Source organism: Homo sapiens, chromosome 19 (genome assembly GCF_000001405.40).
Source record: "Homo sapiens chromosome 19, GRCh38.p14 Primary Assembly".
Lineage (NCBI taxonomy): Eukaryota > Metazoa > Chordata > Mammalia > Primates > Hominidae > Homo > Homo sapiens.
The window spans coordinates 22,049,427-22,064,639 of NC_000019.10; the positions used below are offsets into that span (position 1 = coordinate 22,049,427).

The following is a 15,213-nucleotide window of genomic DNA, read 5'->3' on the forward strand; positions in this document are numbered from 1 at the left end:
CTCACCTGCTGTGGAGCTAGGTTAAAAATGAGTCACCATCTCAAGTGCAGCCAGATGTTCAACGATGACAGTTACAATTTCAACTGTAGACTGCATCCTCATGTGAGATTCAAGACCTTACCAGTAGGCTCTGTGCATGTGTCAGGTGACAATCCTAATAGATGATGCGGTGTGCATACAAGAAATGCAATGTCACCTGTGTGCTGGGCCCTGTGATGACACTCTCTGTACCACCTGAAGGGTTTATATGACATGCAAGAGAGTGGTAATCCACTATGACCTTCATACAAGGAGGAGACTGAGAATCTTACATATTTCCCTAAGCCTAGCTTTGAAAGACAGTATGTTCCCTATTTGTTGATTTGATATATGAGAGTTATCATCTCACCTGTGAGCTGAACAAATCCCACCTGTGCATAGACAGTGAGCAAGAGAGTCACATCATTTTGGTGCTAGGCCAGAGATATATCAAAATCTTTTCTCATGGCAGAAACTAGGAAGAAGAGTCACGTCACCTGGGTGCTTGGCCAGGGATATGTTACATTCCTGTTCTGAAAGGAGGGCACAGGCAGCAGAGTCACAGAATGTGGGTGCTGTGCCCAGTGATATGTCACAACGCTCCCTGTGAACAGGACCCAGGAAAAGAAAACACATCAACCTGTTGCTGGGCCAAATGTTATGTCACAATCTTTCCTGTTGGCAGGATGCAGGCAGCAGAAGAGAGTCACATCTCCTAGGTGATGAATGCAGAGATATGTCATGAGGCTTTTGAGAATGGTAGGGCTAACACCCTGTTTACAGGGAACAGACAGGTGCCTCCCATCTTCTAGGTGTTTGGTCTAGTCATATGTCACACTACTCAAAATATGTGGGGCCTCTGCAACATACAAGAGTCACGTTAACTATGTGCTAGGTCCAGGGATATGTCATCATCCCACATTTTGGCAGGGACATGACAGAGAAGAAGGACATATCACCTAAACCATAAATGTAAAAATATATCATAGCCAGGCACAGTGGCTTATGCCTGTAATTCCAGCACTTTGGGAGGCTGAGGTGGGCGGATCACTTGAGGCCAGGAGCTCAAGACCAGCCTGGCTTACATGGCAAAACCCCATCTCTACTAAAAATACAAAAAAATTAGCTGAGCATGGTGGTACACGCCTGTAATCCCAGCTATTCCGGAGGCTGAGGCACGAGAATCACTTCAATCCAGGAGGCCCGATGATTAGGTTCAAGGCCAAATAGCAAAATATGTTTGCATTTAATCTATTTTCTCTCTATATAAACACTGCAGGTCAAGAGTATGCACAGATATGAAGACTTAGAGTTTTCTTCTCCTCCGGACCTATCATCCTTTGCTCCCTTTCTGATCTCTGGAAGGAAGGTGGGCCAAAGGTGGCCAGCAGTTGTCTACTTGTGGTTAATTTATTCCTGCTGCCCTCTGCTCTTTCTATGGCCGCCATCTTTTCCATCCTCCAAACTGAAGAGAGATGTTGTTAGGAAGAGGCCCTTCCTTCACACTGGCAGAATAAATTTATTCAGGCCCTTTACCCACCCAACATCAGAGCTGCACTTCACGTGTGGCTCCTGAGTGCCTGGAATGTGGCTGGGTCTACACTGTGATGTGCTGGAAAGGCAAAAAACAGACTTAGTAGCCTGTGTGCGGTGGCTCACGCCTGTAATCCCAGCACTTTGGGAGGCCGAGGCAGGTGGATCACTTGAGGTCGGGAGTTCCAGACCAGCCTGACCAACATGGAGAAACCCCGTCTCTACTAAAAATACAAAAATTAGCCGGGCATGGTGGCAGATGCCTGTAATCCCAGCTACTCAGGAGGCCGAGGCAGGAGACTCACTTGAACCCAGGAGGCAGAGAACACACTTTGTGCCATTGCACTCCAGCCTGGGCAACAAAAGCGAAACTCCATCTCAAAAAAAAATAAAAAAAAAAAAACAAAAAAAACAAAAAAAAACAGACTTAGTTCCAATGATATAGTTCTAACTATATACATGCTACATTAATAATTACACATTGCTCATATAGTAATATTTTGGATATATTGGGTTACTGAAATTGTTACAATCAGTTTGACCTATTTCTTCTTTCTTTTTAAAGTTTGGCTACTAGAAAATTTAAAATTCACATTTGGCTCACATTCTATTTCAGAAGATTGCCTCCTTTTTTTTTTTTTTTTTTTGACGGAGCTTAGTTTCGCTTTTGGTGCCCAGGCTGGAGTTCAAAGCGATCTCGGCTCACTGCAACTCCTGCCTCCCGGGTTCACCTGTCTCGGCCTCCCCAGTAGCTGGGATTACAGGCACCCGCCACCATGCCCCGCTAATTTTTGTATTTTTAGTAGAGACGGAGTTTCATCGTATTGGTCAGGCTGGTCTCCAACTCCTGACCTCAGGTGATCCGCCGGCCTCGGCCTCCCAAAGTGCTGGGATTACAGGCGTGAGCCACCGCACCCGGCCATGATTGCCTCCTTCTTAAAATCTCAGGCTGCCTGATCAAAAAACCAGAAGCCAGGAAGGTCAGGAAAGCTGAAATTTTAAAATAGTTGTTATTAGATTATTTTTGTTTGTGAATAACAATATAGTGTATTTTTTTCTTTTCTTTTTTTTTTTGAGACAGAGTCTCACTCTGTGGCCCAGGCTGGAGTGCAGTGGCGCGATCTCGGCTTACTGCAATCTCCGCCTCCTGGGTTCAAGCGATTCTCCTGCCTCAGCCTCCGGAGTAGCTGGGACTACAGGCGTGAGCCACCGCGCCCGGCCATATTATGTATTATGTATAAACGCATATGACCTTACACACAAGGTTAAATGCAAATACCTTTGGGTTGGGCCTGGCTCAGCTCAGGGAGGAAAACCTGCCTGAAAAGGCTGGAGCTTAGGCTTTCACTCTTTCTTCATTCAGCCGAGCATCTGATCACGTCTCCTGTCACTCAGGGCCTAAAGGGGCGAGGCCTTAAACGTTATCCAGTCAGGGACGCTGGGCTGGAAACCGTCCAATCAGACACGAAGCTGGAGCGGACAGGGTGGCTTCCGGGTTTGGCGGGTACTTTGTCTCTCGCTCTAGCCCGAGCTGCAGGTCTCGTCTTCCCTGGTCTGTGTCCTCTTCTCCTAGGGGCCCAGCCTCTGTGGCCCTGTGACCTGCAGGTATTGGGAGATCCCCAGCTAAGACGCCAGGTCCTCCTGGAAGCCTAGAAATGGTGAGAGTGCTGGGTCCGACATCCTGGGAGAGGGGAAGGGGGTGGTTGGAACCTGTGGGAAGTCGCTGTGGCGGGACTCAGGCCTCCTTGCAGTCAGCCCTACCATCTGCGCCCGAGTTTTCCTTGGCCAGCTCGGCCTCGGTCCCCCTCAGCCATAAGATGGCGGCTGCGCTGACAGCCGGGACCCCGGGCGTCCTGTCTCTTCCCTGCGCAGTGACTGTGCCCTGGCCTGGATCCCTCTCTCGGCAGCTCTGCACCCGCAGCGCCGAGTCTCCCCAGGTTGTGCAGGGACCACAGGAGAGTCGTCAGGGGAGAATCCTGACTCGGGGTGCGGGGTTCATGAATGGGAAGAGCTTTGGTCTGTGGGGTTCTGAGTCTCTCTTTTCTCTTATTAAAAATATACAGAAGTCACCGCAAAAATATTAAAGAATTTAATTAAAGAGTGATTCAAAAATCCGGGCGCGGTGGCACACGCCTGTAATCCCAGCACTTTGGGAGGCCGAGGCAGGCGGATCACGAGGTCAGGAGATTGAGACCATTCTGGCCAATATGGTGAAACCCCGCCTCTACTAAAAATACAAAAATTAGCGGGCGTGGTGGCATGTGCCTATAATCCCAGCTACTCAGGAGGCTGAGGCAGGAGAATCGCTTGAACCAGGAAGTCAGAGGTTGCAGTGAGCCGAGATGGCGCCACTGCACTCCAGCCTGAAGACAGAGCGAGACTCCGTCTCAAAAAAAAAAAAAAAAAAAAAAAAAAAATTGTAAAGTACCCAGCTATGGTTTGTCATTTGTCGTCCATAGCAGGGGCTTGAAGAGAAGACTTTAATAACATGAGATAAAGAAAACCAAATTCAGTAATTGGTTAGATGCAGTTACATAGTTTGTTAATTTGTACTATCAAGGTGGACATTTCCTTGTTATGTAATCAGAGGTTAAATGGTAGTGTATAGTTGGCTACGCCTCAATTTTGTTTCCCCCAATTTAGTAATTTATAAAAACATGCGTTTGAGGCCGGCGCTGTGGCTCACGCTTGTAATCCGAGCACTTTGGGAGGCCCAGGCGGGCGGATCACTTGAGGTCGGGAGTTCGAGACCAGCCTTACCAACATGGAGAAACTCCGCCTCTACTAACAATACAAAATTAGCGGGGCGTGGTAGTGCATGCCTGTAATCCCAGCTACTCCGGAGGCTGAGGCAGGAGAATCGCTTGAACCCAGGAGGTGGAGGTTGCAGTGAGCCGAGATTGTGCCATTGCACTCCAGCCTGGGCAACAAGAGTGAAACTCCATCTCAAAAAAAACAAAACAAAACAAAAACCATGCATTTGAGTTAAATTTCTTTAAAGTAGAAATCCAGGGACTAGAGCCACCTCAGTCTAGTTGCCTGCCACTTAATTATTTTCACAAGCCACAGGGGACTAATTTTCCGCTGATTTGTTTTTCTTTTTTTTTTTTTTTAAGAAGGAGTTTCACTCTGTCACCCAGGCTGGAGTGCAGGGGCGAGATTTCTGCTCATTGCAACCTCCGCCTCCCAGGTTCAAGCTATTCTCCTGTCTCATCCTCCGGAGTAGCTGGGATTACAGGCACCCACCACCACACCTGGCTAGTTATTGTATTTTTAGTAGAGATGAGGTTTCATGTGGGCTAGGCTGGTCTCGAACTCCTAACCTCAGGTGATCCGCCTGCCTTGGCCTCCCAAAGTGCTGGGATTACAGGAGTGAGCCGCGTCCGGCCTTTTCCGCTGAATTTTTTACATGTGTCCCAAGCAGAGTCTCAAGTTTTACCCTCCTCCCCCTTCATCATTTCTTCAGCCTAACTCTGGATTGCAAAAATAGTAAATAATAAAATACTAAATTTTCAGTTTCTTCTGACATTCCCAAATGCCAGTTTTCCCTAATTCACATTATCAATTATTCATCCTTTAGTTTACATTTTTTATACCATATTTTAATCATTTTTTGACAAAGCATTGGATGGCACTTTAAAAAGATTTGTTTTCTGTTTGTAAATACTTTCCATGGGAAGAAAGCAAAGTATAATTCCCTGACACTGTAGTGTAAAAAAAATTTTGTTCCTCTTTGCTTTTATCTTGTATAGGCACAGAGATCTTATCAGAATGTTTTTGGGTCAAAGTTTCCCTTTGGAAGCTGTGAGGTGAGATGTCTTCACCCACCCTTTAGTTTTGTTCTTGGTCTTGGGCTTCAGTATTTCCTGGGGATAAACCAAGATACCCACCATGGCTATATCTGCTAGAGTATCTAGTGGATATCAGCTACTGGGTCTTTTTTTTTTTTTTTTTTTTCTTCTTATAGCACAACCTGAGTTATGGAGTGTAGCCTATTAAGAAAGAAGGTGGCTGCCCCAGGGCTGAGAGGAGTCTCCTGTTGTATTTCTTTTTCGAAGATATTAAGATTGTCTTCACCCAACTCAGCTTCCATTTCTTAGAGACACATTGCTGTTAAGCCAATCAGATGCTGGTAAAAAACACAGAAATAATTTCTGCCCCCTGGATTCTCTAAGTGGGCAGAGAAATAGTGAAATAAAAATAGTGAAACATTTGTGAAAGAAAAAATAGTATTTTTTGGTTTCTTTGAGACAGAGTCTTGCTCTGTTGCCGAGGCTGGAGTGCAGTGACACCATCTTGGCTCACTGCAACCTATGCCACCTAGGTTCAAGGATTCTCCTGCCTCAGCCTCCCAAGTAGCTGGGATTAAAGGTGCCCACCCCAACGTTTGGCTAATTTTTGTGTTTTTAGTAGATACAGGGTTTCGCCATGTTGGCCAGGCTGGTCTTGAACACCTGACCTCTGGTGATCCACTCACCTCGGACTCCCAAAGTGCTGGAATTACAGGCGTGAGCCACCGTGCCTGGCCAAAAAACAGTATTTCAAAAGACAAAAATTTAAAAAAAGAAAACTGAACCCAGTTAGATGGTATAAGAGCTTACAAAATAAAATGATCCTGGGCCACTCAGTGGGGCATAGTGCAGTTTCTCCTGAGAGAGTGGTTATTGAGCACTTATGAGAGCAGGATGGGGTGGGAGAATCTCTCAAGCGATTAGATGGCCTTACTTGACATATGAGTCAGACACATTTGTTTCTTAATCAGCATTGCTACTCCCTCGGTTTGTCACCTTGAAAAGAATTGTTTTCGGCCGGGCGCGGTGGCTCACGCCTGTAATCCCAGCACTTTGGGAGGCCAAGGCGGGAGGATCATTAGGTCAGGAGATCGAGACCACGGTGAAACCCCGTCTCTACTAAAAAATACAAAAAAATTAGCCGGGCGATGTAGCAGGCGCCTGTAGTCCCAGCTACTCGGGAGGCTGAGGCAGGAGAATGGCGTGAACCCGGGAGGCGGAGCTTGCAGTGAGCCGAGATCGCACCACTGCACTCCAGCCTGGGCGACAGAGCGAGACTCCGTCTCAAAAAAAAAAAAAAAAAGAAAAGAATTGTTTTCACTTATCTTGACCTCCGATTTTTTAAGTATAAGTTGCATTTTATTAGTAGGGCTTTAAAGGTAAGAAAATATTTACAAAGGGACGGGGGAGCACTGTCTCGTGCCTGTAATCTTAGCACTTTGGGAGGCCGAGGTGGGTGGATCACCTGAACTCAGGAGTTTGAGACTAACCTGGGCAACACGGTGAAACTCCGTGAAAGCCCGCCACTATGCTGGCTAATTTTTGTATTTTTAGTAGAGATGGGTTTTCACCATGTTGTCCAGGCTGGTCTGGAACTCCTGACCTCAAGTAATCCGCCTGCCTCAGCATCTCAAAGGTCTGGGATTACAGGCATGAGCCACCATACCTAGCCCTCATTTACCTATTTCTTTTCCAGAGTGAATTTAGAAATTTTTTTTTTTTTTTTTGAGACGGAGTCTCCCTCTCACCCAGGCTGGAGTGCAGTGGCACAATCTTGGCTCACTGCAAGCTCCGCCTCCCAGGTTCACACCCTTCTCCTGCCTCGGCCTCCCGAGTAGCTGGGACTACAGGCACCCGCTACCATGTCCGGCTAATTTTTTTTTGTATTTTTAGTAGAGACGGGGTTTCACCATGTTAGCCAGGATGGTCTCAATCTCCTGACCTCGTGATCCGCCCACCTCGGCCTCCCAAAATGCTGGGATTACAGGTGTAAGCCACCGCGCCCGGCCGAATTTAGAAATTTTTTCAAGTGTGTTTTATTATGGCTGGGTGGTTTCAAACGCAATTCCAAGGCTTAGCTTTTAGAATGCTACCAAGGAAAAGAATAGAAAAAAATCTCTGTATTTTGGCTGTAGAAAATGAATACATTTCCACAAGAAAATATGGTAGATAATTGATGAGTTACATGGATTCATAAAAGCATCAGTTTCTTTTTTTGCAGGGAAAACTTGTGATAGTGAATATCTCTGTTCTATATTCTGTTATTTTGATTTCTGAGTTTAATGTTAAATTTTATGAGATTAAACTTGTTACCTCCTAGAAGTGTTCACATATTACTAATTATTTACAACATGATTTTTAATGAAACTAATACAATAATACATTTATTCTCTGAAAGGAATACTTTAACTTTTCTTATTGGGTATGAAATATAAGCACCTTAATTTTTTTTCCTTATATGAGTACTATGTTTGATAATTTTGCTAGATTTTTTAAACACTTAGTTTCAAAAACCAAGTGAGTAACTCTGTCATAGAAATTAAAACTTGAGCCCAGTGACTCCAAGCTAAGGCTAATATTGAGCCTGCAAAAAAGGTTATTAAAGGCCCAGCTAATTCTTTCTGGGGAGCCGCCCCTGCAGATGTCCCAGCCATGGAAGAAGCCTTTATCCTGAGAGAAGCTACAGAGCCCTGGAAAGCCGGGGATCCACAGGCAGATGCAGTTAAGGTTAAAATAGAAGGGGTCTCAGAAGGTCTTACTGAAGATGAAGTTGTTATTGTTCTGAGATAGTTTCTAGACTTTGTAAAATATAAGCAAAGTTAGATTTATGTTTAAAAAAAATTCCACAGGAGTATTGCAACAGGAGGAAGCACTAACAATAATATCTTTAAGGACTGCAAAGCTTAGGCTGACAGGGACTGACTTTCATAAGGAGGAGCAAACAGATTAAAAAGAAAGTGTGAGGGAAATGGGAAATTGAGGATGAAATAACTAGATTTGAGATCTTTTGAGATGGAGTCTCACTGTGTCGCCCAGGCTGGAGTGCAATGGTGTGATCTCAGCTCACTGCAACCTCTGCTTCCTGGGTTCAAGCGATTCTCCTGCCTCAGCCTCCTGAATAGCTGGGATTACAGGCACCAGCCATCATGTCTGGCTAAATTTTTTGTATTTTTGTAGAGACGGGGGTTTCACCATGTTGGCCAGGCTGGTCTTGAACTCCTGACCTCAGGTGATCCACCCACCTCGGCCTCCCAAAGTGCTGGGATTACAGGCATAAGCCACCGCGCCTAGCCAAATTCAGCTGATTTTTATATGAGAAAAAGAAGAAAATGTGCAGAGTCTGTGTCTGGCTATGTGATGGGCAAAAAAAAGAGCCCCATCTAAGTTATAATGGAAAGGGTGTTTCTTTCCATGAACTGTTCCTGGAGCACACAAAGGATGGAGAATTTTATTAATCACAACTATTTACCTGGATTACCTATGTGCTTCATCTTTCCCCACCTATTTTTTTTTTGTCCTATACATTTATTCCATTTTGCTTTTTCTGGGTTGTATCTTTTATGATTAACTGGTCAACATAACTATGTTGTTTTGCTTGTTAGTGGCTCTATCAAATCATTGAACTTGAGGGAGGTTATGGGAGTCCTTGATTTTTAAACAGTAGCTCAGGAGCATAGATGGGTTCATTGGGTTTGTTCCTGACATCTGCAGTAAAGAGAATACTGTGGTACTGAGCCCTGAATCAGGGTCTGTGCTGAATGGGTGGTGTCAGAATTCAAATTTTAGACAATGAGTTGATGTTGGAGAATCTTGGTATTCAGCAAACTCTACAGATTTGGTGCCAGAAGAAAGATACCACAGAGGCCTGGCCTGAAATGAAACTCTGGGAGGCTCTGCTTTTCTGTCTGTCATAGTGCCCATTGTTTTGTGATTCTAGGTCTCCTCCCAGGGTGAGAGAGGACTGAAAACTTAAAGGAAAGAAGCTCGGATAGCAGATTCCCTTTTTCCACAGCTGTCAGCACAGGATTTCTACCCAGTCACAAAGACACCCACTAGACATTGAGGTGTCTACACCACTCCCAGGGCTAGACACCACCCTCAGGAATTTCACCACAGCATTTTTATCCTAATGTTTTTTTTTGCCAAAAACCCACAAGTGTCTACAAGTCTCCTGGCATATCCTCACCCCTAGACACTGAATCTGCAGCAGCAACCTGTTTTCTCCACCAACCTAGGGTTCTGGACCACCTGTTCGTAATCTCATCTGCCTGCATGAACCCAGAAATAAATTAGAGTCACACCTGGGCCACTATCTGTAGCACAAACCAGTCCTATCACCTACATTGCACTCTCTCAAACTAACTCATGGATTTTTTTCCTTTTAACTTTTATTTTTTGTTCCTGAGTACACATGCAGGTTTGTTATATAGGTAAAATTGTGTCATGGGGGTTTGGTGTGCAGATTATATTGTCACTGAGATACTAAACTTTGCACCAAACAGGTATTTTTTCTGATCTTTTTTGTCCTCCCATCATCCACCATCAACTTGCCCTCAGTATCTATTGTTCTCTTTGTGTCTATGCATTCTTATCATTTAGCTCTTACTTATAAATGGTAACATGTATTTATTTATTATTATTTTTTGAGACTCTGGGATTACATGCGCCTGCCACCACACCAGCTAATTTTTGTATTTTTGGAGGGACGGGGTTTCACCATGTTGGCCAGGCTGGTCTCGAACTCCTGACCTGAGGTGATCCACCCACCTCGGCCTCCCAAAGTGCTGGGATTACTGTCTCTACATTAGTTTTCTAAGAATACTGGTCTCTAGCTCCATCCACGTTGCTACAAAGGACATGATTTTGTTTCTTTTCTTTTTTTTTTTTTTTTAATGGCCACGTAGTATTCCATGATGCTTATGTACCATATTTTGTTTTTATTAAATCTTTTATTTTATTTTATTTATATTTGAAGAAAGGGTCTTACTCTTTCACCCAGGCTGAAGTGGAGTGGTGTGATCTAGGTTCAATGAAGCCTCAATCTCCTGAGCTTAAGCAATCCTCCTACCTCAGCCCCCCAAGTAGCTGGGACTATAGTCACATGCCACCACACCCACTAATTTTTTTCTTTTTCTATTTTTTGTAGACATGAGGTTTTGCCATATTGCTCAGGCTGCTGTCAAACTCCTGAGCTCTGGCAATCCACCAGCTTTGGCCTCCCAAAGTGTTGGATTAGAGGCATGAGTCACCATACTTGCCCATACCATATTTTCTTTATCCAGTCTACCATGGATAGGCATTTAGGTTGATTCCATGTCTTTGCCATTGTGAATAGTGCTGCAATGAACATGCATGTGCATGTGTCATGATGGAATAATTTATATTTCTTTGGGTATGTACCCAATTAAGAGGTTGCTAGGTCAAATGGAAATTTGTTTTTACTTACATGAGACATCACTACATTGCTTTTCACAATGGTTGAACTAATTCACACTCCCACCAGCAGTGTATAAGCATTCCTTTTACAACCTTATCAGCATCTGTGATTTTTTTTAACTTTCGTATAATATCCATTCAGATTTGTGTGAGATGATGCCTCATTGTGGTTTTTGTTTGCATTTCTCTAATGATTAGTGATGAGCATTTTTTTATATCCTTGTTAACCACATGTATGTCTGTTTTGAAAAGTATCTGTTGATGTCTTTTGCCTACTTTTTCTTTTTTTTTTTTTTTTCCGAGATGGAGTCTTGCTCTGTCGTCAGACTGGAGTGCAGTGGGATGATCTCGGCTCTCTGCAACCTCCGCCTCCCAGGTTCAAGCAATTCTCCTGCCTCAGCCTCCTGAGTAGCTGGGATTACAGGTGCCCACCACCACGCCCGGCTAATTTTTGTATTTTTAGTAGAGATGGAGTTTCACCATATTGGCCAGGCTGGTCTCGAACTCCTGACCTCAGCCAATCTGCCCGCCTTGGCTTTGGTTGGGATTATAGGCGTGAGCCACAGTGCCTGGCCTAATCAATCTTGAGTTGATTTTTATATATGGTGTAAGAAAGGGGTCTAGTTTCAGTCTTCTACATAGTGCTAGCTAGTTATTCCAGCAAAATTTATTAAATAAGGAATTTTTCTCAAATTCCTCTTGTCAGTTTGTCAAAGATCAGATGGTTGTAGGTGTGCAGAATAAATTTTGGGGCTCTTTAATCTGTTGTTTTGGTCTCTGAGCCTGTTTTTGTACCAGTACCATGCTGCTTTTTTTACTGTAGCCCTGTGGTTTAAAGTTTGGTAATATAAGGCCTCCAGCTCTGTTCCTTTTGTGTAGGATTGCCTTGGCTATTTGGGCTCTTTTTTTTTTGTTCCATATGAATTTTAAAATGGATTCTTTTGGTTCTGTTAAGAATGTTTTTGGTAGTTTGATAGGAATAGTATTAGATCTGTAGATTTCTTTGGGCAGTATGCCCATTTTAATGATATTGATCTTTTCTATCCATGAGCATAAAATGATTTTCCATTTGTTTTTCATCTCTGACTTATTTAAGCAATGTTTTTTTGTTTTGTTTTGTTTTTTATTTTTGTCATAGAGATCTTTCACCCCTCTGGTTAGCTGTATTTCTACATAATTATTTTTCTGTGGCAGTTGTGAATGAGATTTTGTTTTTGATTTGGCTTTTAGCTCAGATATTGTTGATGTACATGGGTGCTACTGGTTTTTGTACATTTATTTTGTATCCTGAAACTTTTCTGCAGTTGTTTGTCAGTTTAAAGAGCTTTTCTGTCACGACTATAGTCTTTTCTAGATACAGAATCATGTTGTCTGCACACAAAGATCGTTTGACAACCTCTCTTCCCATTTGGATGCCTTTTTTTTTTTTCTCACCTGATTGCTGTGGCTAGGACTTCCAATCTATGTTGAATAGGAGTGGTGAGAGAAGACATTCTTGTCTTGTGCCATTTTTTAAAGAGAAATGCTTCCAGCTTGTGTCCATTCCATTCAGTATGTTGGCTGTGGGTCTGTCATAAATAATTCATTATTTTGAAGTATGTACCTTCAATGCCTAATTGGTTGAGGGCTTTTAACATAAACGATGTTAAATTTTGTTGAAAGCTTTTTTTTTTTGTTGCATCTATTGAGATAATCTTGCAGTTTTTGTCTTTCATTATGTTTATGTAATAAATCACATTGATTTGTTTATGATGAACCAATCTTACATCCCAGAGATAAAGCCTACTTGATTATAGTGGATTAGCTTTTTGATATGCTGTTGGCTGTTGGATTTGATTACACAGTATTTTGCTGAGGATTTTTTTTTTTTTTTTGAGACAGAGACTTGCTCTGCTGCCCAGGCTAGAGTGCAGTGGCATGGTGTTGCCTCACTGCAACCTCTGCCTCCTGGGTTCAAGTGATTCTCCTGACTCAGCCTCCTGAGTAGCTAGGATTGCAGGCACCCACCACTGCGCCTGCTTTTTTTTTTTTTTTTTTTTGAGACGGAGTCTCGCTCTGTTGCCCAGTCTGGAGTGCAGTGGCGAATTTTTTTTGTATTTTTCGTAGAGACGGGGTTTCACCAAATTGACCAGGCTGGTCTTGAACTCTTGACCTTGTGATCTACCTGCCTCGGCCTCCCAAAGTGCTGGGATTACAGGTGTGAGCCACTGCGCCCAGCTTTGCTAAGGATTTTTACATCAATGTTTGTGAAGGATATTGGCCTGAAGTTTTCTTTCTTTCTTTTTTTTTTTTTTTGAGACAGAGTTTCCTCCTTGTTGCCCAGGCTGGAGTACAATGGTGCAATCTCGGCTTACCACAACCTCCACCTCCTGGGTTCAAGCAATTCTCCTGCCTCAGCCTTTCAAGTAGCTGGGATTACAGGCATGCGCCACCACACCCGGATAATTTTGTATTTTTAGTAGAGATGGGGTTTCTCCATGTTGGTCAGGCTGGTCTTGAACTCCCGACCTCAGGTGAGCTGCCCGCCTTGGCCTCCAAAGAGCTATTACAGGTGTGAGCCTCCACTCCTGGCCAGCCACTGCACCCGGCTTACCTGAAGTTTTCTTTTTCCATTTTATCTTTGCTGGGTTTTAGTATCACAATGATTCTGTTCTAATATAATGAGTTGGGGAAGATTTTCTTCTCATTTTTTTTGGAATACTTTTAGCGGAAATGGTACTAGCTCTTTGTTCATCTTAAAGATTTCAGCTGCAAATTTCTCTGGTCCTCAGAACTTTTTGGATGGTAGGCTATATATTACTAATCCAATTTTGGAGCTTGTTATTTGTCTATTCAGGGCTTCGTTTTCTTTTGTGTGGAGTCTTGGCAGGATATATTTGTGTTCAGTCTTGGCAGGATGTATTTGTCCAGGACTTTATTTATTACTATTAGATTTCTTGTTTGTGTGCATAGAGATGTGCATAGTAGACTTCAGTAGTTATTTGTATTTTTGTGGGGTCAGTAATAATGTCCCTTTGTCATTTCTAATTGTGTTTATTTGGCTCTTGTTTCTTCATTAATCTAGCCAGTAGTATATCTTATCAATTTTTTTTCAAAGATTTAACTCCTGGATTTCTTGATCTTTTGTATAGTTTTACATGTCTAAGTCTCCTTCAGTTCAGAGCTGCTTTTGGTTATTTTTTGCATTCTGCTAGCTTAGAATTGGTTTGCTCTTGCTTCTCATACTTTATTTTGTGATATTAGGTCACTAAATTAAGATCTTTCTAACATTTCGATGTGAGCATTTAGTGTTATAAATTTCCTTCTTACCACTGCCTTAGCTGTGTTGCAGCAATTCTGGTATGCTGTATCTTTATTCTCAGTTGTTTCAAACAACTTCTTGATTTCTGTCTTAATTTCATTATTTGCCCAAAAGTCATTTAAATGCGGGTTGTTTAATTTTCATATAATTGTATGTTTTCAAGTGGTTTTCTTTGTAGTTGAATTATATTTTCAACAATCTGTTGTCTCCATGTGTGGTTGGTATAATGTAGGGATTTTTGTATTTGCTGAGTATTGTTTTATTTCTAATTGTGTGGTAAATGTTAGAGTTTGTTTCACATGGTGATTAGAATAATGTATATTATGTTGTTTTTACATAGAGTTCTGTAGATATCCATTAGGACTATTTGGTCAAGTGTCAAGTTTACATACTGTTATCTTTGTTTATTTTCTGTCTCAAGGATCTGTCTAATAGTTTCTGTGGGGTGTTGTAGTCTCCTACTGTTGTGTCAGAATTAAAGTCTCTTCATAGGTCTCTAAGAACTTGCTTTATTCATGTGTACCCATGGAATTTTTATAACACATTTCTCTCTTCTGCTTTTTTCCCCATAAGCATTATTTCAAGTGCACAAAGTGTGCCCAAGGTTGCCCCTTAGATGCCTGAATCCAATGTCTGCTGAAATTGAGATGTCCAAGAATTCAAGAACACGTCCAGAAAACCTGGCTGTTGTAGAAAAAAATATAAATTAGAAATGAAAAGCTTTATTCTTCTACCTTGAAATAAGCACTTAGCATCTTAAAGCATTTAAGATGATATGTACATTTATCTTTGTTATTTTGAAATATACATAAATTATATTAACAGCTAAGTAAACCTTTTGTCATTATTTTTTACTCAAGGTTGTCATTAGCTAGGACTTCAGATTCATTGCTTTGTTTTTGCTTTGGCAAAGTTTTTTCCTTTCATTTTTAGTCTTTTAAAGTCGACAGTTTTGTTTATATCAAAGCTTATTTTAAAAACACGCAAAAGTGGAGCACAAAAATAGGATTAAATTTAGCCATACAGAATGATAAAGACTAAAAGATACTGAGTAGTTTTTTTTAACAGAAAACTGATTGTCCAAGGTGATTATCTAATATTTTCAGGCTGAAGTACTCACACTGCAAAAGAAAG

The 15,213-nt window shown here is 42.3% G+C and overlaps 1 protein-coding gene across 5 annotated transcripts in view; it reads left to right on the top strand.

The window, feature by feature from the left end:
* Positions 1 to 3,057: 3,057 nt before the first annotated feature.
* The window catches only part of ZNF257 (zinc finger protein 257), a 38,997-nt gene continuing 26,841 nt past the window's right edge, over positions 3,058 to 15,213 (top strand). For 4 of the 5 annotated variants that reach the window (NM_001316997.2, NM_033468.4, XM_047438121.1 and 1 more), the window contains exon 1: positions 3,058 to 3,209. Coding sequence is in view for 1 of the 5 variants with exons in the window: in NM_033468.4 (NP_258429.2) it covers positions 3,207 to 3,209 (3 nt within the window). In the remaining 4 variants the exon portion in view is untranslated. Of the gene's footprint in view, positions 3,210 to 11,081; positions 11,203 to 15,213 lie in introns of all 5 variants that reach the window. The other variant, NM_001316996.2, reaches the window with a different exon arrangement.